General features: G+C 36.4%; 1 long non-coding RNA gene across 1 annotated transcript in view; it reads right to left on the reverse strand.

The window, feature by feature from the left end:
• Positions 1-16,999, reverse strand: part of LOC124909415 (uncharacterized) — a 274,299-nt gene extending 257,300 nt beyond the window's left edge. Inside the window, exon 1 of the long non-coding RNA XR_007096015.1 lies at positions 1-16,999. This exon is cut by the window's left edge and continues 12,330 nt beyond it. This is a non-coding gene — a long non-coding RNA (uncharacterized LOC124909415).
• Positions 17,000-26,260: the final 9,261 nt, after the last annotated feature.

The raw sequence follows: 26,260 nt of genomic DNA on the forward strand, positions 1-26,260 counted from the left end.
ATCCCATTGAATTGACTGCCTCCTCCACATATCCAAAGCTGAATTCATGATCTTGCTTCCCAAATTTGGATCTTCACAAATATTCTTTCTTACAGGGAAAGGAAGCTCCATCCACAAAGTTCAAGCTAGAAATCTGGGAATTGACCTTACAACTTCTCTTTTCCCAACACCCCATAACCAGCTTATTATTAAATCTGGCCAATTTTACTTTTATTTATTTATTTATTTATTTATTTATTTTTGAGACAGGTCTTGCTATGTTGCCCAGGCTGGTTTCAAACTACTTGCCTCAAGCGGTCCTCTCACCTCAGCTTCCCAAAGCGCTGGGATTACAGGCATGAACCACCAGGACTGGCTAATTTTTTATTTTTTATTTTATTTTTATTTTTTTGATACACAACATCAAGCATGCTGTTGATGAGAGGTAAGGGTTAATTTTTCCAAAAAAGATTCCCCAGGGTCTTCTGAAAAGCTTCCTGAAAGTGGGCTAAGACCTTGAGTTTAAAGCCCTAAACTTAAAGTACTCCATTCTGACCAACTACACTCACAAGGCTTGATTTCCAGGCCCTTCTCATTCCAAAAGAGGGGCCTATGCTTCCCCAAACAGGAACATTTTAAAGTGGAGAATTCTACTGCTTCCTTGTGACATCATATATTTGTGAACCTCAGTGCCAAATGACAGGAGAGGTTGGTCCTACCTACAACCATAAAATGCTGACTAGGACTGAGGCCCAGTTTCTGCCTCATAATATTACTATTGTTTTCCTGCTCCTGCTTACACAGTGCTTCTGTAATCATGCAGCTTCAAAGCCCCGCAGATCAAGGGTAGGGGCTTCTCCTGAAGTCTGGTATCTGGCCTAGATAAATCTCTGTCGGCTGTTCTAGAATACAAATGCACCTGCTCCTGATATTGTCTCCATTAGTTAAACTTGGGGTTAAACTTTAACCTTAAAAATGCTGTTCCAGCAGGTTTGGTGTCCTTGTTCACATTACAGCTAGCAGCTTAAAACTCTTCAGTGGCACCACATCACTCTTAAGATAAGCACCAAGATACTTACTATGGCCTACAAGGCCCACCATGACCTGGCTCCAGCCTCTTGTTGCAGGCTCACTTTGCACCACGTTCACTGTGTTTCAACTGGCCTTTTAGTTTTCAGAAATGCAATTCTTTCTGCCTCAAAGCTTTCAAACTGTTGTTCCCTATGTTGGAACATTCTCTCCCACTTAGCCTTCTGATCTAAGACCAGAAGTCACTTTCTCAAATAAGTCCTCCCAGATTTTCCAGATTAGTGTGGCTGTCCTGTTATATACCTTACATCGTTTGGCAACAAAATTTAAAAAAATAAAAGCCCAAACCAAACAAACTTAAACAGGATTCTTTTAAAATTTGTCCTTTATAGCTCTTATTTCTAATTTGAAATTGAATCCTGAAGGGAAAGATTCATGATGGGAAAGACTCATGATATTAACTAATAGTTGCAGAAAAATTTGTTTATAGCAATATAAGAGTTCTTAATATACATATTCACTCCAAAAAAAGACCACTTTGCTTTAAGTCAGTTCTTGCTCCTCTCAGTACACTGTTACACTCACTTCCCATAACATTTTCTCCTTCACAACACTTACCATAGGTTAAAATCATACATGATAATTTTAAAAATTTTAAAAAATGTAAAAGAATAGTATCTACAATTTAATCCCTCAATCATCTATTTAGCTTTTTTGCATTTAATAAAATGCAATTTCTTAGTCACAAAAATATTTGTTAGTTCTTCACTGGCAACATGAGGCAAGAAAAAAAATGGAAGGAACACGCGGATAGGACTGTGGACCCAGGTGACAAACGTGAGACAGAAGGTATGCTACAGAGTCAAAAGAGAGCATGGAAGAGCATAAATTCTTGTTCGGTCATTACGGGGGAAGATAGCAGGCTGAGATATTAAATGATTTTTGTTTGCCCATTTTTAAAGAAAATGTTAAGGAGATTCTCATTTGCTAAATGTCTTTGTAAACAGACAAGAGAAACAGATGAGAACTATTAGATCAAATCGTGGTTATTGTACAAGATGTTCTATACCTAATAGATAAACAAGACGTGGAAGAATTACCGGGACCAGATGGCAGCTCTTATGTCCTGTCATATGTAACATTTTCCTCTTCAAAATAGAGATGAAGCACAAAAATGTGTCTGAGTTTAGTTTAATTGCAAGTAGCTGGGGAAAGAATACATAAGTCAATTTCTAAGGCTGCCATTTTGTACCACTATTGCATTTGGAAATAAAGACCCAATAGAAATGTCACCTCATATCAAAATCTTCTATAACTTTCATAACCACAAAATTCAGTCCAAAAACAAAATAAAGTATTTCCACACGGAACCGATACTTAATCATATAATAATCAAAATAAAGTAAGCATTTGCAGTACATTTGCAATTAAATATAATGCCAATTTACAATATAAACACAGAGTAAATTTGTACTTTTTCCTTCATTTTTAATATGAGATTATTCAATTCTAGTTCTGATATTTCCAGCCAGAAGGGATCTAGACAGCTTGTTGAGTGAGTCATTCCAAACATTCTGAGAAACAGCCTGAGATTCATTTGCTCTTTGCTTATGGGGATATATTAATGAATCTTCAATCCTGCTCTCACCGTCCCCAATGGCCATAATGCATTTGTAGAAAAATCAGGTTTACATAGCAGAAAGTCTTCTGTCAATAGTATTAAACCTGCTGTTATTTATCTTCCTAGTCTTGAAATATTGAAGGGAGGGACAAAGAAGAAAAAAAGTAAAGAAGGTTACACTTGATTAACAATAAAATATAGGATTATCTTTCAGTTTTCTTTGTTTTTGTTTTCTTTGTAGTTGTTATTCACAATTGTGAAGTTGAATCCTAATGAGGAAGGCCATGATATTAGCCAACTGTTCTGGAAAGATGTGGTTATGCTAATTGAAGTAATTTGGACATGCATATTCACTCTTAAAAAATGGCAACTCTCTGTTTTCCTTAACTTAATTATGTCTTCTCTTAAGAGATTGTATGCTGCCTTTTTGCTTTGGTATGGCTGGATATTCTGAATCATTTCTTAATATTAAGATTATTATCTGAAATAACACTAGACAGCAGATGTCTTGATTGAAACATACAAACAAAAGATTGGGAGGCAGCCAGAAGCAGGACTTCTAAAGCAGATCATACTTTGTCCAATGCTTAATCAAAAATAGCTACTGTTTTTATTTGGCCTGTGAGTGATTTTATGATTTACTAGGGTTTGCATTGTGAAACAGTAAAGACTGTAAGATGAAAATTTGAGGGAGAAGAGCAGAAATAGTGGGTAAGCCTGGGAGGGTGAAAACTCAAGAACAAGACTGGGAGAGTGCAGGAGAAGCTCTTACATTGTATCCTATCATATTGTTCTGTGAATTGTGTCCCCGCAGTTGTGCAATGCAGAAACTACAGACAAGGGGATTTCCCTTGGGGTCTTCACCATTCTATTTATCAAGAGCCAAGGAGAGCAAACGGATGTGGTGGTGAGGAGTCCAGAGACTGTTGCATCTTTTTTTCTCTTTTGTCTTTGACTTGATGAAAGAACATGCTGAACTAGGGGTACACATATGGTGTGATCTAAGAGAAACAGGGAGGAAAATACAATCTAAAAATCAATATAGTCCCACCCTATCCAGATCACTCTTAGTTTAATTCCTAAACACTTTCCTTGGTAGGGGCATTTATTCTAATTACAATTAAATGATGTTATGATGTTAAGAGAAACTTTCTTTTGGTAAATTGAAAGCCCCACTGCTTAATGTCTATTTTGGGGAGGTTAAAGTGATAGCGCTGGGATGGGAGACAAATAATGGAAAGACATACAAACACTACATGTATCCACTTCACCTTGTGACTACGGACAAGCTTCTGAAGGCACAATGATCATACTACGTTCATTCAGTTTTATTTCTGCAAGTTCCCTTCTGTCTCTTCTATTTTATTCTCTCTGCCATTGCAAGATTTTTTTCTGTCCTTTTTAAAACAAAACAAAACACAACAGGCTGTGTCTCAATCTGTTGCCTGGGCTAGTGTGTAGTGACATGATCATAGCTCACTGCAGCCTTGACCTCCCAGGCTTAAGTGGTCTTCTCGTCTCAGCCTCCTGAGGAGCTGGGATTATAGGTGTGAGCCACTGTGCCAGGCCATGATGTCCTTTTTGAATTGTGGCAAAATTTTCTCCCTTTTCCGGTCCTCAAATCTTCTTCCACAGTGCTACCTTTGTTATTGTCCTAAAAGGAAGGTTCGATAGTTACTGCCACCATCAAATACCTCAATGCCTCCATTCTGTTTATGGAAACAAGTGCTAATTACCTCACTATTCAGTCAAGACTCCAATGACTTGGTTTCCCTTTAGCATGCCTTTCCCAACAACTCTCCATGAGTGCCATGTTTTAAATACACTGGATCATTTACCATTCTCCAAAATGCACATTGAAAATTCTGTGCCGTGATTGTGTCAATCCTTCATTTTGGAATTCCCTTCTTTTTTCATCAAATAGCCAAAGCATCCCTCTATCCCTCTTCTATCTTTGAAGCCTTCCTCATGCCAACAGCTGGAATTAAATGCTCTTTGCATGCTTCTTGAGAACACCATGACTTACATCTGGGTTGCAGCACTTTTCCATTCTTCATTGTATTGTTGTTTGTCATTGTATGTGAATCTATGTAATTAATTTAAAGTTTCTTGGAATAAGGTTCTTACCTTATTCTTCTCAGTATATCTACAATGTTTTTCATGTAATATTCTCATTGAATAGTAGGTAAAAGACCAGATAATTAGTTAGCAAGAGTAAATTTATATGTAAGTTTATTTCACGAAAACTAAATGTAATTAGACATAAGGATCACATATCTTCATGGAGGTAAAATTTCCTCCGAGTTGGGATCATCAATATTTAATACGGGATAAAAAATTTAAGTTAAATGAAAGTCTTCCTAAGGTGAACATTCAGGCTTTCACTAAAGATGATGGACTTTTAAGGGCTGTGGGAACCTATTCCAGGGTCCATGCTCATGCCACATGAGCAATCTTTTGGGGATGACTGCAGTAAAGGGTGCAGAGATTAAGAACACGGGCTCTGGGGCCTGATCTGAGTTTAAATCCTGCAGTCATGCCTTCCTAGCTTTGTGACATTTGGCACATTGCTCAACCTCTCTCTGGGCACAATACCACTTACTTTGGGAATTATGGTAAAATACTATATGCATCAATTGCTTTCCATAGGGCTTGACACAGAATAAGAGTTGCATTTACTAAATAGTGAGTGATTTTTTTTGTTTTGGTCTGAGAATGATCATGCTAATCTGAGTAAACTTTTAAGGCTTTTAAATCTTGAATGCATCTTCATTTCAAAGAAGTATAATGACTGGAAATGTATGATTTTACTTTATCCTTGGTCAGTTGGACCTAAGTATTTTTAAATAAAACAAATTTATCAACTCTACATGTGGAGGTAGAACAGAAATTCTAGTGTGTAACAAATAATGGATTCAAGTCTGAATAGTTAAGAGACTTAAAAAGAGGAAATACATGAAAACACACATGTGACTATTAAGAATAGACTTTTCAAGTAAAATAACAGGAAGATAATTTGACTTGTTCACTAGTTATGTCAGAGAATAAAACACAGAATTGTACTGATTGGGCTGAGTTGTCAATTTCCTTTCCTTCTGATTCACCCCACAAATTCCATATCAACCATCACTTATTGAGTAACTGCACTGTGTTCAGAGCTTTAGGCACACACAAAAAAGGAGAATATTCCTACCTAAACCCTACCATCTATTAGAAACACATTTTTGAGTAAAAAAAAAAAGCACTTGTTTTTCAATAAAATTATCTTTACTCACAATTCACAATGCTTTAAATAGAAAGCTTCCTCTCCGCAAATATAGGATGAAGCTTTGATACATAAATTCATTTTATATGTTTTGATGAAGAAGCAACTTAATTACACTTTCAAAGAAAAGAACTGCAAACATATGACTGCAATAATTAGGACTCAAATATTATAAGCCATTTAGAAATAATGCCACCTTGCATTTTCAATGACACTTAACTAGTTTACTCATCTACATAATTTTTTACATCAATTTTTACATTTAGTCATCATGACTTCCCTGTAAAGCAAGTACATTTACCCTCTTTTTATTGATGGGTGGGCTGCTGCTTAGAAGTAAAGCCATAATATTTGCCAACAAATCACATTTAGAACAATTATTTAAACAAAAGAGTCAGGACTGAAAACGTGGTCCAGTGCCTGTGAGGAGAATTCCAGATTTTGGAGTCCTACCCCATTGTCTACTGCTTCTAGTTCTGCATCTTAAAACCCAAAATAAAAATAAAGTTTTACCTAGCAGGGGCTGATTATCCAAAGAGTTAGATTAGTAGCTATAATATTTCATATATTCTACTTGTAAGTTTTTCAATAACTCAGAATTTAATATGCTTACTACAACAAGCAAACTGAATATATTTTAAGTTTATGTGACATACAATGCCTTCTATCCCTTGGTTGTATCTCAATATTATCTCAATAGAAGGAATAACAAATCAAGTTGAATCTGTTTTTTGTCAAAGGTTGGATGTTGCTTTTAGTATCTTCCAATATTAGTATATTTATTCCACTCTTGTTTTTTAAACATGGAGTTAAAACATGAAACTAAGAGATTTTTGCCTTCTATGCTAGTTAATAGAAATGTCTAGTTAATAGAATGCTAAGTAAGCCTGGTTTTGCCTTATTTGATTCACAACCATTTTTAGAAATATGGGGGGATAATGATTACCCAAGCAAACTTCCTGGCAATACTGCATTCAAGTTATTCCTACATGACCTCATTTTGCTTCTAACTTAGAAATCAAGAAAAGAAAAGAAATTTAGAGGTTATGTGGTCTACCCTCTTTTTATATTTAAGGAGAGTTATATGCAGAAAGGAAAAGCAATTTATTAAACACCTAAGAACAAGTTATTCCAAATTCTTTTGAACTGTTTGAAGGTTGAGGACGGCCCTTTTATTCCAGCCATGTATTTCCTATGCTGCACATATAATAGGGTTGACAGTGGTAGAGGTCAACAGTACTTTTAAATAGAGGGGTTAGGAAGTTATCTTTCAGTAGGTGGCATCCTCGGATTAAATGCAATACTTCTTATTTGGCAGTGGTTTGACCTTATCAGTGTGTCTACTTTAAATGGTACTTTCCTCACAGATAGTTTCAAAACATCCATAAAGGTCCAAACTTTGCATTGTATATAATTTATAGCCTTTTCATTGATTTATGTTTATGATTATTATCTTATTTAAAGGTTTGAAACTTTCTATTATGAAGTGGCTGGTTTTAATGTATTATGTTAACCACTTGATTTTCTAGCTTACTCCTCTAATTTTTCAATCAAATATATTTTACTATTTATTTCAATCTTCATATATTTGGACAGAAGCACTAAAAGAAAACAAAACTCAAAATGAAATCTCTTTATTCTGATAAAAAATTTGCTTGAAAAGAACAGTAGCCATTGCCAATATGATGCTTATATTTTACTTTCTGTAACTTACACTTACCCAAATTATCTCCATTCATTTTGCAATATAAAAATAAAATTGATTTAAAGACAAATGACACATTTTATATTAGTCCTTCCTACTGGGCTGAGGAAAGGAGGTGGATGCCTATAGCCATTACAATAGTGGATACAAATATAAAACATGATTAGTTAAGGTCAGGATAGTGTAATCAGGAATTAGATGTTTGCATACCTCGAAGACATTACTATATTGAAGTGAATTGGTTTGGTCAAATAATATGTAGACCACTAGGCTTCATTTTAAAAGTAATTATTTACTGTTTGAAAGCCAGCACACATCAAAATAACATTTGGAATCTTAAACAGCCTTAATTTTTTAATGTATGCAAAGTTTAAAGAATTTTTTTTAAATTGAAGGCAAAGGAAATGCTGTGTCAAATGAATCTCTTAATAGTATTGTAGATAGGGAAATATGTGAACACAGTCATGGAGCATTTCAATCAAAGGTTTAAATTTAATTCATTTCTATGTAGCATCCTTCAAATACTGTTTTCTAGTGAAATATAATGTAATGAGATAAAGCTTTTATGAGATTGAGTGAAACTTACTCAAGCATCAAGACAGAATGGACTCAAGCCACTGGGTTCTGAGTTATAATCAGCAATGTTGTCATTTAAAGTGGTAAAATGTAAATAAATTACTTGTACACAATTATAGGAGAGGAAAAAGTCAAGATGAATAACAGGAATTGGACAAATAGGGATAAGACTTTATTTGAAATTAAGTGAATAAACTAGATATACCCAAATTCAATTAGGTCTTAATTGGAAAAAAAACTTAAAGGTATAAAAACAAAATAAATTAGAAGTTGCAGAACTGCTACACTGAGAACTTTTTCAGAAAATTATGTAAACTGTGATTTTTCTTTGACTAGGAAGATCTAACAATATTCTAATTAATTGATTAATGGATGGATCCATTCTCATTCCATCATGAAGTGCCTATTAGGTGCCAGCACTGTTTTGGCAAAGAGTGGAAGTGATAAGTAGAGCAGTGAGCAAATGTCATGTCTTTATGAAGCTTACATTCTACTAAGGAAAACGAATAAATAATTCATGAGAAAAATTCCAATTATTTTCACTGTGATTAAGGAGACAAAATATGGCAGATATATTACTAACTGGTGGAAGAGACTCTGAAGAAAGGTTTCACTTTGAGTTATGATAATGAGTGATTTACACCTAATTAGCAAATAAAAATAAAATCCTTAAACAAGTTACTTTGTGTATGTAGTAAAAAATTTAGAGACAGAGAAAAAGGAATAAATGTCATAAATGAAATATTCAGGTTAGTAGGCAGATTCAGAGTACATGAAAATTCTATCAGTGAAGGGAAAGAATGATTCCCCTGTTTTCATTGCACCCAAGAGTTCAGATGTTCTCAGAATAGAAGTGGACAGTATTACTGAATTGCAGAAAGAGTTCATATGAGCTCTGATAAAATCCTTACATATTCTTGCTGAGTAGACCTGCACAAGTTTTCATCCCACTTCTCTTTATTTTTCACACAGACCTTGGGTTTATATGCTCTCTCAACAAAATTTCACTTGTACCTTTAAGGGGTATTTCTTCTTCTTCAACATGGTTTTTGCATTTCTCCATTTTCCAGAGTAAATGCCACTCCCAGCCCCCCAACTATGACCAAAGTAGCCCATCACAAGGAAAAGAAAAATGAATCGAGAAGACAATGATTGTGATTTCTCTAAGGATGTCTTCATTCCTGTTTTAGTGATCCTTTTAGGTTAAAACAGCACAGCTGGGTAGGAAAAAGTACAGGTAAGAAAATATGGAGTACCTAAAATGAGGGCTTCAGCAACTGGGCTGGATTTCCACTTTTCCCCCTGAAAACAAATGTGAGCAAGGAGCACAAGCAATTATCATGAAAAATCATAGGGCTGTGCTTTTCTGTTGTAAAGAATTGAAACGGGGTCAGGATTGACCACCTTTATTCACTCTCAGGATTTCTCTGGGAAATCTGCCGCCAAGACTTCTGGCTCTTTTATAATTTTATGTTTTTGTTTCCATGATTGGATATTACCTGAAGGCAAGGAAAGCTCGTAAGGAGAACTGGTGGGTCCTATATGGTAACATTCCCCTTGTGAGACCAGAATTAAGCAATATTGGTATTTTAAAACAAAGACTAATAGTAATAATAATGTAGCATGGCAATCCCAGCACTTTGGGAGGCCGAGGCGGGTGGATCATGAAGTCAGGAGATCGAGACCACCCTGGCTAACATGGTGAAACCCCGTCTCTACTAAAAATACAAAAAATTAGCAGGGCGTGGTGGCGGGCGCCTGTAGTCCCAGCTACTCGGGAGGCTGAGGTAGGAGAATGGCGTGAACCCGGGAGGCGGAGCTTGCAGTGAGCCCAGATCGTGCCACTGCACTCCAACCTGGGCGACAGAGCCAGACTCCATCTTAAAAAAAAAAAAAAAAAAAAAAAGGAGCATAATCTCTCAACATCTGCTAAATTAAAAACAAAAGGATCTGGCCCTTTATGTGTCAGTAAACAGGTAAGAACTCTGTTCTCAACTATGCGACCGGCGGCAGTGGCACAAAGACAGCATAGGGGAATGAGGAGTGACAGTTGAGTCTACTAAGGTTGAACTAAGGGAAAAGAGCTGAAGGTAAGAAAACAAGCTCTTGATTGAGGGATAAAGGTGAATCAAGAAGGCAAATTGGTTTTGTTTAGTTAAGAAGATTAATGAGATAAAGTCAGGAAAATCCTATAGTTTTATATGTACATTAAGTAATTCTTATGTTAGAGATCAAAAGAGCAGTATAGCAGTACAAGTAAATGAGCCTGGCGAGCAGTTCTCTGGAGAAAAATATGAGCTGTGTGTATTGCAATGATGATAGAGGAATTTAAAAAGTGCATGCAGTCTCCCAGTATCGAATTGAGCTCACCAGGTACAGTTTGTACTGGCATTCCACTATTTGTCAGTATCTGTTAATGACATTCTAGAAAAGACCCACTTTTTTTGTAGCATTTTCCCGGCTAGAAAAAGTGTTTGAGCCATTTTAACGACTATACTTTTGAAGCCACTGCTACAGTCAGAAAACTATCCACAAAGAGCAATGTAGCTAGGCCACAGAAATCTGTTTTGGGTATGTATTAATCAGTATACGGAGCCTCTTGGATCAGTTCAAGATAATTATAATTTTATTTCTCATTTATTTCCAACTAGGTCCTTATAATAAAACTACTTACCTGCTACTGATTCCATAATCTCAGCCAAATTCTTAATTGAAAAGTAACTAACTTGCCCTAAATGTTACTTAAGCATAGAGTCCTTACTTTAAGAGGCTGGTGTTACCCTGTCCTTGTGGAACTTTTGAAACACATGTAGCCTTATTTTCTGGAAGAAATAAGGTAATTTTAAACTCCTCCCAGTGACTTTATTTTGCTTCTCTATCACGGCCACATCCATACTATTTCTCTGAAACATAGAATCTAAGTGAAAAGGGTGTGTGCCCCATGCACATTTCAGCTTCAAGGCCAGTGCCTTAGCATTCCACTCCCTTCTCCTAATGAGATTGCCACTCACAAATGTCTCTTATGTAGAAATTTGTGAGACACCATTTGGTTAAGTAACATTCGGAATGACAAGTTAAAATTCTGTTCAGAACCTCCTGCTCCAGGAAAACATTTTATGGTTATAAAATCATAGAGAATTTTATGGTCAAAAAAATGAAGACAAATACCCGAAATAAATTTCACTTACCACAAAGGCATTATTTATGCTAAAGAAAAAGATTTCTTCAGTGTCGAACCCTCTTTACAACATTCTTCTCTTTGTGTAATGCATAAATGTGTAGTGGGCTCATTTTAACTGCTTTTCAGAAACTGAATATCACTTAGTAGTAAGAAAAAAATACAGTATCAATACCACCAGAGAGAAAAACAGAAAATACAAGAAAAATAACTCCAGTGAAGAGCTAAAGGAACGGGAGGTATTTCTGTCTCTCTGTAATCTTGCTTGCTGCCTTCCCACCAAGGCAACTGAAGAAACCTGCCAGAGATTTCACTGCACAGGGAAATTTTAGAGATGAGGAGCCACTTCAAATTGACACAAGACTGTTTCATCTGTCAGTCAAGGTATGAGGTGCACAGTGAAATAGCAACAATGTCACTGAAATTATATTCCTTTGCTCCAAGTACATAAATATCTTATTCCTTTTTTTAAAATTATTTTCTTATATACATACTTTCCTAGGTATAAAATTGTATATTTTTCTAGTTGCTCCCAGATCACAATAAATACCCAAATCTTCCATGATTCATTGACAAATTCTTTCCTAATTCAAAAGAAAAGTACTGTAGTTAAAGGTGACAGTTTGTATTACATGCAGTGAGCAAGTGCAACAACTTTTTAACCATCTCTGGATGATGTGACAGAAGCAACGTTTGTAGTACAGGAAAGAGGAAAAGCTTCCATTTTAAACCTGATGAACTTTATATTGTATGAAGCTGATTCAGTGTCACTCGGGCTTCTCGTAGCTGAGATAAAAACGGGGTTTTATTACACATGTGTGAAGAAATGAAGAAGAGTGTGTACAAATGTTTGTTGACTCTATAACAATATTATGACTCAGGAAAAGGAAAAATCTTTATATGCCAAAAGGAATTCAAAGCTAGAGAAAAGTGAAAAATTTATCATAACAATATCAAAGTCACAAGGTAATTTCACATATACTCATGAACAAGCTGCTTCAAAGAGTGTACCTAAACAATGCATCAGAAGATGACAGAGGGATTGAAAGGAATAAAATCTGTAAAAGCATTAAAGATAGCATAATCAATCAAAAGATTTACTTTCTTTTATTTTTTCCCTGAGATAGGAAAAGATCATCATCATCATCATGCTTGCCCTTTGTTGAACACTTCTTGTATGCAAAGCAGTGTGCTAGCGAACACCATTTATTACTCTCTACAAAGGAAATTAGACACCTTGCTTCCAGCTTTCACAGACTAGCTTTAATAGGGTTGTCAGGACAAAGTCAAAGTCATCATAGGAAATACTTAAATGAAGTAAGTAGGTCAATATATGGTTGATTCCTGTGCATTTGTATGAAATGGGATGAAGTCTGCCCATCCATATTGCCTCTAGAGGTGACAATTATGCTTGCCTCATCCACAAAAAAAGGAAACAAAACACAATCTCATAAATCTATTAATTAAACATATGTTTTATGATATCTGCTGTGTATTTGGTGACAATTATGCTTGCCTCATCCACAAAAAAGGAAACAAAACACAATCTCATAAATCTATTAATTAAACATATGTTTTATGATATCTGCTGTGTATTTAACTTTGTGTAAAACCTATTCCAGTCTTCAAAACTTTATATCCAATTGAGAAGAAAAACTTAAAGATCAATTAAATGGCAACCCAAGACAAGTAGGTACCTCCTCAATGTTGAAAGGAGTTTAGTGCTATTGGCAATGAGAGGAAGGCTCTATCTTTAGGGGTGTGCCTAAGAGTTAAAATAAGATTATAGTACTCTCTCATCCACTGGGTGCTTTTTAACATCTACTCTTTGGAAGATTTTGAGCTTTATGGGGTATAGATTGGTTTTTATTATAACGAGAACCCTTTCTGAAAAACAATGAAATATTTGTTATGCTATTATAGTATTAAAGCTATGAGGCAGTTTCACATACGCCCAGGAACAAGCTGCTTCAAAGTGGGAAAAAAGAAACAGGAGTGGATGAGAATATTTGTTGTCAACAAAGAGACAAGGACCATTTAGTAAATAATACATAATACAAGGACCATTTAGTAAATAATACATAATACAAGGACCATTTAATAAATAATACATAATAATGGGGTTCTGCTATGTACTTAGAACCTATGCTATTGCTCCCCAAGATGACCCTTCTCGCTGGCCATCATGGTTTCTTCCACATTCCCTCATGTGTTGTCACCATCAAGTTTTTACTCCTATGGCTACTTTTCCACCTTAAATCACGGTAGTCCACTATTTTTCCTTGGGGACTTTCTGCAAGAAACTTGAATGTGCCCATTTTTCCTTAATACTGTGTCTGTCAGTAGCAATTTCTGCTACAATATATTACCCTCGAATTACTTTAATCGTTCTAGTTCTTTTCCCCAAACATACTGCAATTAGTGAAGGATAGAGAACAAGTCTACCTCATGGTATCCCCACAAAACTTGATTCAGTGCTAGTATACAAAGGAAACATATAAATTGATTGAATAGATGATAACTGAACAGAAATTGGCAAAACAAATGTTAGCCCAGAATTCCTTCAAGATTATTAAAACTGTAATATATCATAAATAATTGTATCTTCACCAGAAATTCAAGTTAAGATTACAGCTGGTAAACTCAGAGCCACCTTTCGGGCTTTTTCCTAAACCACTGAAATTTCCATAGGGATCTACAGCAAAACGGAAAACTCAGTCCCCATGCCACGTTTTCAATCAGTATGAGCACTATGTGGCTTTGCTGGTGGAACCCTATTCCTTTTTGGCTTTTCTGTTTTTATGTGGGGGTTAATAATTTTAATATACATAGAAAGAATAGTTCAGCAAAGGGCAATGAGAAGGGTAGAAAAAGATGGCATTTTGATTATATGCCCAGAAGAGGAAACAAAGCAATGGAAAATTTTTATTTAAACTGTCAATTCTCTGATAAAATTAAGAGTTTTTTTAATTGGATAGTTTGAAGAAAAATACAAAAGAACTTTTCTAGAATACAAACTATTATGTCTCTATGGTCTTTAAGTGTCAACGATGAGTGTGTAAAGGCAAATAAAAGCATTACTGTCCTTAACTTGTAAAATTGATTGCGGACTTCATTACTTAAACCAATCCCTGACTCTCCTATCTTATTACTATTTGTGCTCCTCTTTTATTTTTTCCTTTACTTAACCTTTAGGCCATCTACCTCCCTTGCTAAATGTAAAATTACTTTTCTTAAAAGTCTCAATATTGTGAGGTGGAGGCCTATTATAAGCAACTGGAGAGGACAATCTAACCAAAGGAATGAGGTGCTTCAAGTTCACCAAGAAATACATGCAAAGGCTCTTTGCAAAGTATCTATGCAACACTCTGTACACACATTCACCATAAATGCAATCATAATGTCTTAATAACTTCTTAGCTAACATCATTTTGAATTTGTTAGATATTTGGGTTATTTTCACAACCATTTTAAGAATGGTGAATATTTCCAGATAGTGTGGTAAACGTTGTTTTACAATCACCTTAGCTTCCCATAAAGGGTATTCAAAAGAGGGGGAAGGGATAAAGTATCTTAATACATACAGGATTAAAACAGTTTACATTTGAATTAAATGTAATACATGCATATGGCACACACAGATACAATGTGGAATGTGACAGATTTGAGATGGAAAGTATCTAAAGTGACATCAAATCCCTTCACCTCCTATTTTGCCTCCATTCCTCTCTTGAATGTGCATGGAAGACGCGTTTCAGCATTTCACATCAGGGCACGCACTACTTCCAAATCAATGCCACCTAGATGTCGTTAACCACCAACTAATTTCCATCCAATACGTAATCCAAATTCTCTTTTCAAAACCCATTTCACTGTACAGTTCAACCTGTAGCCTTTTAATCTCCGTAAATTATTTCTTCCTCCAACAGACATTTATGGCTTTGTAACATGTATACCCATACCTTCCTGTATAGACATAATTCTTTCAAACTTTTCCCATAAGTCAGCTTCTTTTCCCTAATCAATTGTGAAACTCTTCTTTGGACTCCTTCCAATCTGTCTACTTATTTTTGGTAGTCAGACAAACCAAACGGAATGGGGCATTCTAGAATAGGTCTCATGAATGTCATTGAGAGTGGAACTGTCACCCTCTATTCCATGATGAAATGCTCTAAATAGACTGCATCCAAAAATAACATTAGTCTTTTGGGTGTCACATCACACTAAAAATGTGCAGTCTTTTCCTGTTTTTAGTCTCATATCTCCAGATGTCTCCCCATTATTTCTGGGATATGTCCTCATCCGTTCAAAGATTGTTAAGAGAGTATGATTTTTCAATGTTCCTCATAAGCATTACTAAGTTGTCCTCTTAAGTTTTAATTCCCCTCTCCTCCCCTCCCCTCCTCTCCTGTCCTCTCCCCTCCCCTTCTCTTCCCTTCCCTTCTTGCTTGCTTGACAGGGTCTCACTCTGTCACCCAGCCTGAAGTGCAGTGGCATGATTATAGCCGAATACAGCCTTGAACTCCTGTATTTAAATGATCCTCCTGCCTCAGCCTTCTGAGTAGCTAGGACTACTCAGTGTGGTGTTTGCCACCACACTGGGCTAATTTTTGTTTTTAATATTTTGCGGAGACAGGGTCTTGCTGTGTTGCACAGGCCGGTCTTAAACTCCTCTGCTCGAGTAATCCTCCTGCCTCAGCCTCTGAAAGTGCTGGGATTACAGTGTGAGCCGCTGCACCCTGTGTAAATCTTGTTTTCTTTTACATAATTCCTTCATCTCTTTGTGATTTTTCTCAACACCTGTGTGCATGCACCTCTGAGCATTCCCCAGAGGCTTTTCCACAAATGCACCTATTTCTTACTATCTCCATTGCTTAAATATTTTTGCCAAGAGTTCAACATTTTTCTTTGACCTTTTTTGGTTTAGTTCAATGAATATCTATCAGATTCCTACAATGGCATTTACTGTATTAAACGCTGGAGACATAGCAATGAATACGTGATTTCCATAGGAGAAACAATCACGCAAATGTAATTTGAGTATCACTTCAGTGCTTTGTGGGCATTCTCAGCATAGTTCCTCTTTGGCTTGCTTATAACCTAAAAAGCACCATACATTTTTACCTTTATTGTCCCCACACTGGCTTTATGACTGTCTTTGAACGACACAGTTAATGCTTCTTTGCCTCTGTGCCTGGAAACAAGTAATTAAGTCCCCCAAACAAGGAGGTATTACAGCCTACAGCCTGGGTCAGCATTGCCAAGTGTGAGAACAGTCATAGTTTGGCCTGTGCACTGGTTTTAGGTAAGCAGCTCTGCTTCCAGAACACTTTGGAGAAATAGAACCTTCCTCCAGGAACTCCAGCCACACTTGTGTGCAATTCCTATCTTGACCATTTTTCCTGTTTCAATTTGTCCATTTTCTGTTTCGTCTTTGTTTGTTCTACATTTAAATTTAAAACTGTACCCTCATTGAATTTTTTTAAAAGTTCTTCTTTGGAAAGACAGCTTAATAGAAAAGAAATAAAAATATTACAGGAGAGGAAACTTGAGTTTCTACCCAGGTCCTGGCATTCCTGTCCATCAGAGCATTATTCTCAACGAGGCTTGTCTTTGCTTTGAAACCACCATGGTGCAAATGCAGCTCAAAAAAAAAAAAAAAAAAAATCACCCAACCTCTCCATGTCTCAGTTTCTTTGTTTGCAAAATGGCAATAATAATAGTGTTCCTGTAGGAGTTTGTTGTGAAGATTAAAGGTGTGATAGAGAGCTTTGCTGAGCCCCTGGCCCACATCAAATGCTCCATAAATATCATCTGTTAGTATTTTGCTGTGTTTATTCTTTTTGGTGATTGTTTCAGCTTGATTTGCTAGCATGAGAGTGGCACCTCTGAAAGGTAAGCAAACCTCTTTTCACTGTCTTTCAAATAAAAGTTTATTAATGTTTACCTATCATTCACCATGGCAAGCAAACTTCGTATTATAGTTTTCAGGGCATTAGTGACCTTGTTTACCAAGTGTGAATTTCCCAGTATCTTCTCTCTAAAGTCAGGAAAACAGTGAATAGCAGGTAGAGAGGTGCTGCTTTGGGCAGAGGAGCTCACTTTGTTTGAGCTACTTCCAGTGCTTCCTGCCCCCTCTCTGACCTCCTTTCCTCTACCACTATGCTCCTTTGGCCCATTGCCCAAGGCTTCTCTTCTTTTCCAGTTTTTTTACTTCTATCTCCTCCCCAAACCTAGAGGCATAAATGCCAATAAAGTTTGCATTTCAGAGTTGACATCAGCTGATAAATGTTATACTGTAGTTTTCTCTAACCTAGATTGAAAACCTCTAAATCAGAGACTGTGCTGTCACACACTGCCTGTCCTGCACCACGTAAATCATTGACAGATGAATCATCATAACGATACTGCCAACTAACCCCGTGTCGCACTGCCTGGCCCTCCTTCTTTCAAACTGTGTCCATTTTGTCTCAATCAGCTTCTAATCCCATGCTAATATTTAAATGAAAATGAATTAATTTAAAAATTGTAAACCTTGCAACACAGCCTACTTAATTCTAAAATAGAGGCATAATATTTCTTATATTTATGTCTACAAGAACTAATTTCCAAAGAAATTATCCAGCATATTTAGACCGGTTTGATAAAATTGTTGTCTTTTGTCATTCATGTTCTTATCACATCCAAAATAAATTTATACTTGGCCTTGTCCACCCTTTCACCTATTCACCAAATGTTAATATTCACCAGATGTTAATAACTGGTATTATGTTTCCTATCCTCTGGTCTCTTGGATTTATTATCATAACTCCCTTTTCCAACTTGTGATGTCTTAATTTAAGCACTTCCCTGCAGTCTACAAATTGCTTATTTTAGTTGGATTACATTATTGTCACATTTCCCGTAAGTTTTGAATATTCTATATTTTGATATTTTAAGAAGCTATTGCCTCTGGTACCTTTTGTTTGTTTTTATTTTTGTTTTAGTCAAAGCTAACTGACAGCCATTCAGGCATATTAATATTTACCTGTCAGGCATTTTGACAGGTAAATATTTGTATATAGAATTGTCATCCACAAACTATAACATATTAATAAAATATTTACCAGAGATGAATTTTTATACACCACCAAAATATTTACCTGAGAACAATTTCATAGTTCAACAATTTCTTGGAGAATTGGCTTTTACCTGAAAATTTTAGCCAGTTAACATGTTTGTAGAAATCATTTCTTATTCAGTTAACTTAATTATAGAGATATGTTCATTGCTGTGAGTTAAAGGTGCATTAGCATTCAGTGATTAGCTGGCTGTTTGACTCTTTTTTAACAAACAAGAGAGAAGAAACAGCATATGATCTAAACATCTTGTTCTTTTGTAAAATACCAAATGATGACCTTGGAGAAGAAGATCTCAAAATAAACTTCTAAGTAAGTTGTGTAAGCATTTGTTAAGGTCTTTCTGAAATCTTTCAGGAATGAAAGGAAAGGAATTTTGCAGCAAATTTTATCAAAATACATAAAAAATATTGGCATTTATTTTTTAAACTATTGCGAATGAAGAATATATTCAGCCAAGGAATCAAGTCCAGAGCTTGTCATGGTCTTGTCACATGCAGGTATTTAAGAAACATCTTTTGTTTGAATATTGGAGGATAGGAGTTCATACAACAGAAAGCAAACACCTGGGGAAAATGGCAATATTAATAACAACTAATATTCATTTAATTAACTCTGTGCACCAGGCAAGTTAAGTGCTTCATATATATTATTTCATTTAATCCTTACCATGACTCTTAGAGGAGGTGATATCATTAACTCTAGTTTACAGATGAGGAAATGGGTTCACATGGATTTGTTAATTCCCAGAGCTAGAAAGTTGCAGAGCTGGAATTTTTGTCCAAGCACTCTTGACTCGGAAACCAGCACTCCCCACTGCTCTGTTTTCTTTCTCTCAAGACCACCAAAAATCTATCTAGCAGATGGAGGAAATGTAGGGCAGGATTTGGGCAAGAGGTTTTGTAATAGGTACAAAATATTTGTGGCAAAAATGAAGCCTGGTATTTGCCAACCAAGTTCTCCAGGTCTTTTTACAGTTCTTTTTCTTCTTGTTAATTTTTGAGGCCAGAATATATCTTAATCCAAATGTACAAATGAACAGTCTCAAGGGGCAGAGAGGAATTACAAGCCTGATAGCAACTGCCACAAGTTGTGTGTAACAGTTTAGGTGAATCAACAGCTACAATTCAGGGGAAAAATATATGACATGTTCTAAAGCAATTATTCAGAAATGAAAATGTTAAGTAGAGTCAAAAGTCATCCCTAATTTAAGCCATTGTAGGTGGCTACAAAAGTTATCTACATCTATTTTCTAAACCACTCTGCAAATAAAATGAAAATAGTACCTTGAGGTTCACTGAAAACTTAGGCTGAAAAAGGTACAAAATATAGACACCAATCTCCTTCCAGTGGCTTCTATTTAGGTCAAACTTGCTAGGGAATTTTGAGTCCTATTATCAACAAGATGAAAGCTTTTACAAAACTATGATCTGTATAATTAGAGGACATCAGGTAAAAATCTCATGTCCATCTTAAACTTTGGATGAATAACATTAGGTACACATCTGTTGCTGATTGCCTCTAACCTCTAATCCACGGGTACACTGAGACCTGACGTTAGGACAATGCCCAGGAAAGTGCTATCCTGGGCAGAGGGCAAACCCAATCTTGATGATGCTCCCTTGGCAGAAGCTAGGTGCAGATCCTGCTCACTTCCACATTGACTCTGAATGTCTGGCTCCAATTATGCTGGCAATATGGACATAAAGAAGTCTGTGTAAGCTGGAAAGCGTGCTGGAAACTAACCAAGGTTTAGCCAAGAGTGAAAGTATTTTTATCCTAGCCCTATGATGCAAATAACTCTCTTTAATAGTACAGACTTAGAATTAGGCTGCCAATCTAAAGAGTCTTTCATTTAGTTTTAATGACGCATCCCATTTTCTTCTGCAGCTTAAGCTACTTGACATAATTTTCTAAATTCCATGACCTACAGTACCAACATTATACTCTGTAGTTTTTGGGTGCTCAATAAATTATGTGCTATTATCAATATTCTAGAAGTTTGATACTGTGTTCCACATGGTGGCATATTTTTTCCTGGGGTGTGGGGGAAATCTGGAGCAGTAATTACATGCATTATTGTCACTGATAATAGTCATACAAATCAAAAACTATTCTGCAAACTTTTTCTCTGTTTTGGCCTATGTTGAATTCCAATTATGACAAAGTTTTTAATCTCTGGGGGGGGGGCAATATGTGTATGTGTCTCTGCATATATAAAGAGTCCAGAGAGCCAAAGTCCTTGAAATATTTAACATCTGTTCAGAAAACCTTTCAAGGGTATTTAAGCTTAATGTCACCAATATTATTTCACATATACTATAAAAGTTTCAGACTCAACATTTGCTTAACAATTTTGAGCTGACCATCAGCTATCCATTAATATAAGACCAGTCTACTAGCAATTGCTACTAAGTACAATAATATTATCAAAGAAAGTGAAGGAGGATGTGGCCAGGCAGTCAATGTCCAGGAAGAAGTTTGATAAGGGCCTTTAATGGAAAGTCATGGGAGGACAGAGAGGGGAGAAGCTGTAATTGGTAGAGAAAATGGAAAGCAGTGATGCACTTGAGAACAGAAATACAGTGAGTAGTAGAGATTTGTATCAGAAATACAGAATGGAGGTGGAGGTGGATAGGAGAGCCTTGTTATTTCATATATTTGGAGATGGACTCACAGAGTAGTGACTGCCTTTGTAATATAAGCTATTTCTCTTACTGCAACAAGGAAACCTCTATGTCTCTATTTCCTTTGCACCTGACCTGCCACTTCCATTGTCTTCCACGTAATGTCACCTTCATCTCTAGACCTTGTCTGTGTCTGGCAAAGGCTGAAAGGCACTCGTCCTGGACTCCTGCAAATATGTCATCTAATGAAGACATCTATTAATATGGGCACATTACAGCTCGCCATCTGGCTCTGCCTCTTGGACCCCTCTCCTCTCTATAGATCTGCACACACAGAGCACGCTGTGCCTAATCAATTATTTATCCATTTCCCTCACTGCTGCCAACAGACTAAGCCTCTGCTTTCTGCTGCAAGGCTGCTGAGGGCTGATGGCATTCATTTCAAGCCTAAGAACATATTTTTTCTATCAAAACCAAACATAAAGTCCTTGTAGTTCCCTTGTTCTGTACTTGTCTCTGTTCCCCTTCTTGCTTATATCGTGGGAGGTGGAATACTACAATATTCCACAGTTCTGAAAACAGACCCTCTGGGTTTTAACCCCAAGTTTTCCTCCAACTTGTGATCCTAGCAAATTGGTTAACTTGTTTTGTTTGTTTTTTTGTTTGTTTTGGTTTCCTTACCTCTGAAATCTGGATGATAATAGGATCCATTACTATTATAATGGTCTTGTTTTGAGTATTAAATAAATAGCTATATATAAGGTGCTTACATTGAGACCTGGCCCAGAGTATGCACTAAGTTATTATTTTGTTATTATTATTTTCCCTTTTAACTGCCTAAACACATTTCTCTGCTCATTCATCTTCACGTTCATCTCCACTTCTCTGAATTTCTATAACAAAAATGGCCTCCATCTCCTTCACATTATTCTTTCCACACTTTTCAGCCTTTCTCTTTTAGATAATAATAATTTGATGTTTCTCTAATTTGCTCTTATTTCTTTCCCTATTTTCCTTTTCAACTTTACTCTTTCTTTCTCACTCTTGTCTTAACTCTCTGATAGTTTTCCTTTCTACCTCTTTTTATCACTTCAAAGACTTTTTTCAGACACAAACCAAGGATGAGCTAATTTACCACAGTGAATGTAATTTTCTTAATATCTGTAGTGTTAAGGTTTTTTGAAAAATACAAGGACTTGGCCAGGCGTGGTGGCTCACACCTGTAATCCCAGCACTTTGGGAGGCTGAGGCGAGTGGATCATGAAGTCAGGAGTTCAAGACCAGCCTGGCCAACGTAATGAAACCTTGTCTCTACTAAAAATACAACAAAATTAGCCAGGCATGGTGGCGGGTGCCTGTAGTCCCAGCTACTTGGGAGGCTGAGGCAGGAGAATTGCTTGAACCCAGGAGGCAGAGGTTGCAGTGAGCTGAGATTGTGCCACTGCACCGCAGCCTGGGTGACAGAGTGATTCTGTCTCAAAAAAAAAAAGAAAAGAAAAGAAAAAGAAAATATAAGTTCTCTTCCCTGAAATAAAGCTGAGATTTAGGGTTGGCATCTGGTTGCTTTCCAGTTGTGTCATTATGAAGCAGTCTCCTTACGAAAACCTGACACTAACAGTGAGACGAGGATTCCTCTCTTCCTGCTGCAGGCTTATCTTCCTCTCTTTTTCCCTTCCCAGCTGCAATTTTATATCGAAATACCATTTTTTACTGAAATATATAGAATACTTGTTTTAATGTCAAATGTCTTATTCACCACATTCAAAAATATTGGCCAGGTTACACCACAGAAATAAAATTATTTTAACCTGGTGTCTCTCTGGACCTCTCAAGGACCACCGGCCCAATTCATTTATCTGACTGGAAAGGAAATGCAGAAAACCTGAACTCAGCTTTTTGAATGGTAGCCTGGCCCTGGCCTGCATTTATTCATGTGAGAGTTAAGCAAATTGTTTTTTCCGAAAAGTTCCTCCAGCAAATGACTTTACAGTTCATTTATACATTTGCTTAATTTATCATTCATTTATTTATTCTAGTATGTATTGAGATTCTCCTTGAGCATGGAGGAAGAAGTGCCAAAAACAGGTATACCTCTCTCCCTGGCTCCTTCACTCAGCCTACATGTTTAGGCTTGATTTTAAGAGACACCAAACATCAGGGGCAATATTCTCAACCTGGCAGAATAACTACTCCGCAGGGAAGAGAGTGGCATTGCCAAGATGCAAATATCTGCTGAGTCCTGTTCCTAAGGGCATGTTGCCCTATCTGTGGTTGATGAAGACTGGGGTATGGGCCTGTGATTAAGTGAATGGCTGGCTGTATGTATTTTTGCAAAATGATGAGATGAGGGAAAATGAATATTTATGCCATCTTTGATTCTTCTAAATTTTCCACCAAACTGTCTGCCTGTGCTTTAATATTGTCATTAATAATACAAATTAGAATAATGTAATTAAATGCCCTTGGGTATCACCTGAGCATTTCTGTACAACTATGATACCCTGGGGCTCCCTGATCCTAATGGTCTCGTGGCTGGCTAGCACTTTATGAACATACCCAGGTTGGCTCTTTTATTTCTTGCCTGAAACCACCTCTGTGCTACAGTTTGTTTTTTTTGTTGTTGTTGTTTGTTTGTTTTTTTTTTGGCTCTGGCTGCAATTAGATTCACACTTTACTGTACTGTAAAAATCTCATTTGATGATCCATATCCATATTCTATAAAACTTGGTTTCAGCTGAGGCAAGAGAAGCCCTTCACCCAAGGCATACAAGGCAACATCCAGGGCAGAGGATTTTGACTTTTCTGTGCCTGATGGGTCCATCGGTGATATTAATGTCTCCATGCATTAGAAGTGCTACAGCCATATTATACATTGCAAAATCACTGAAGCTGATTTGACTAGAGGATAAAAATGCCATTCACTTCACACACTGAGACCACATGTTTTACGAGTCTACTCTTCCTATTCTCAGAAAGCAAGAGTGAATTCTTTACATCCTCAGGGAAAAACATAGGGGAAAAATTAATTAAGAAAAAAATTAAAGGTCTGGGCTGGTAGGGCAGATCAAACCTTCAGAGAAAGCTTGAGAAATAGTTTATAAGAAATGGAAGCATTACTAAGATTGAAAAAACAGAGTAAAAACTGAAATAGATGAGAGACAAATCATAAAATGCATAGTATTGAAAAGGCTGAAAAATACAACCAATCCAAAGGGATTGTGGAATACCATTTTGAAAATTCTGCAGTGCAGTCTGACAAACAGATATTGAAGTTAGAGAATCTTTTCTAACTTTCCCTACCCTCCTTCCACACCCTTCAGGGGTGAATTTCCAGGCTCAAGGTTACGTACGCCCTCCTCTCTTTATTCTACTTTCTTTGCCCTCCCTGTATAATAATCTAGAGACTGAGACAAATGCTCTGTGTGACTTTCCTTGGCCAGGAGAGCAGGGACTGCAGAATGATGACTGCTTTTGGCAGAGGCCCAGAGTGGAAAATTTATTTACTGCCTTGTCGATGTCTACTGAGATGGGCTGCTGCCTTTCCACATCCATTACAAAGTACTCATATGGCTAGAGCAGAGACTTATAAAAGGCTTTTTCTTTATTAGGCTGGATGAAAATCCTAAAATGGACAGGACAAGGAGTCATCACGTAGGGCCAATTTGGGAATTTGCCAGTCAGGGAAATGGCAATGAGAAAGGAACCCACTGCACCCTTGTTCTTCAGGGTGTCCTGGATTTGAACTTTTGTTTTAAACGATGAAAGCAAAATTAAAAATACATGTTTGCTTGTATGATATTTTAAAGCAAAATAAACGTTTGAATAATAACTTCTATTTCAGCTCTGGTGAAGTAACACTGCAAAATAATATTTATTTAGCAGTTTTCAAAAGACTTTCACCTTCAGCCCTAATCTTTTAAAGCTAATGAGAGTTTGTGATTCATCAAGAACTTTAAAAATTAAGGATCATTACTTTTACTAATTTAAATTCAAATTACCTAGGATGCTCAATTAATCAATCTTTAAACAATATTAAAACAGTCAAGACTTGTCACTCTCTTGTCTCTGATGGAAGATGATTTAGATTGCAGCCAAACCAATGAACAACACTGAAGGAAGATAACTTAATGTATTCTACTAGCATTGTTCACTTGGCCTTGTTTTTGCCCCTTTTTTTTCAACAAAGAAGAGACATATGCCTGTGCTGAAATGGCTGTTGCCATCTTATTCTCCCATCTGGCTGTCACATGGCTAATTGTCCTAAAACAGCTGGATGAGGCAATAGCATCTTTAATGGCTCAACTTAAATATGGTCAGGCAGAATAAGTGCAACTATGTGTCCTGTCCCCACACAGCAAAATATCTTCTAAGAAATGTGTTTCTCATAAATTGATAGCCCTTAAATCTTTTTTTCAAATCAATGTCTGTGCTTTTTATATTCCTATGTAACAGTTTTAGATTCTTTCAGAGCTCCCCTATAACCTACCTTTCCAGAAAAAAATATTGTTTTAGTTAGGATTCTGTGGATTCTACTTAGTGGCCAGAACTAGGAACATGATAAACATTACAATAATATTTATCTAGAATTTTATAATCTCCAAATTCAGATAGTCTTTTTATCATCTTCCTGGAAAAGGCTAATAGATGTGTTTATGAGATATCAACTTCAAAATGTTGAGAGGGGCAATTAATGAATAAATGGTAATATCCGTTTATTGGTTAAGAAGAATATTCTTATAGTCAGAGATTCCTAACTCCAGTCATTCTTAGCAAAGGCTGCTTAGGATATAAGGCTCAATGTATAAGATGCTCATTTTCTATAGTGGGTGTGGGCAGTACAGATTGGCTCTTCTCTGAGAGTTAAGCAGCTTATTGCCTAAATCAAGACTTAGGGATGTATAGGCTGTTATTCTAGGTTCTAAAACTGCCTTGGTTAATTATATTCATATAAATGTTCAATCCCCTTTTAGAGTCTTCCTAAATTACCTGCTTAATATTGTCCAGCAACAGTGATTTTCATAGGTTAATTATGCCCTACATAAAAGAGCACGAGCTTTGTCCAGTCAAAATTTGTTACCTAGTCATTTGATTAACTTTCTTCCTCTGGTTCAAAGGAACAGAATAAGGTCAGGAGTCACCAGCTACCTAACAACAATATCCCA

The sequence above is a fragment of the Homo sapiens genome, chromosome 3 (genome assembly GCF_000001405.40).
Source record: "Homo sapiens chromosome 3, GRCh38.p14 Primary Assembly".
Classification (NCBI taxonomy): domain Eukaryota; kingdom Metazoa; phylum Chordata; class Mammalia; order Primates; family Hominidae; genus Homo; species Homo sapiens.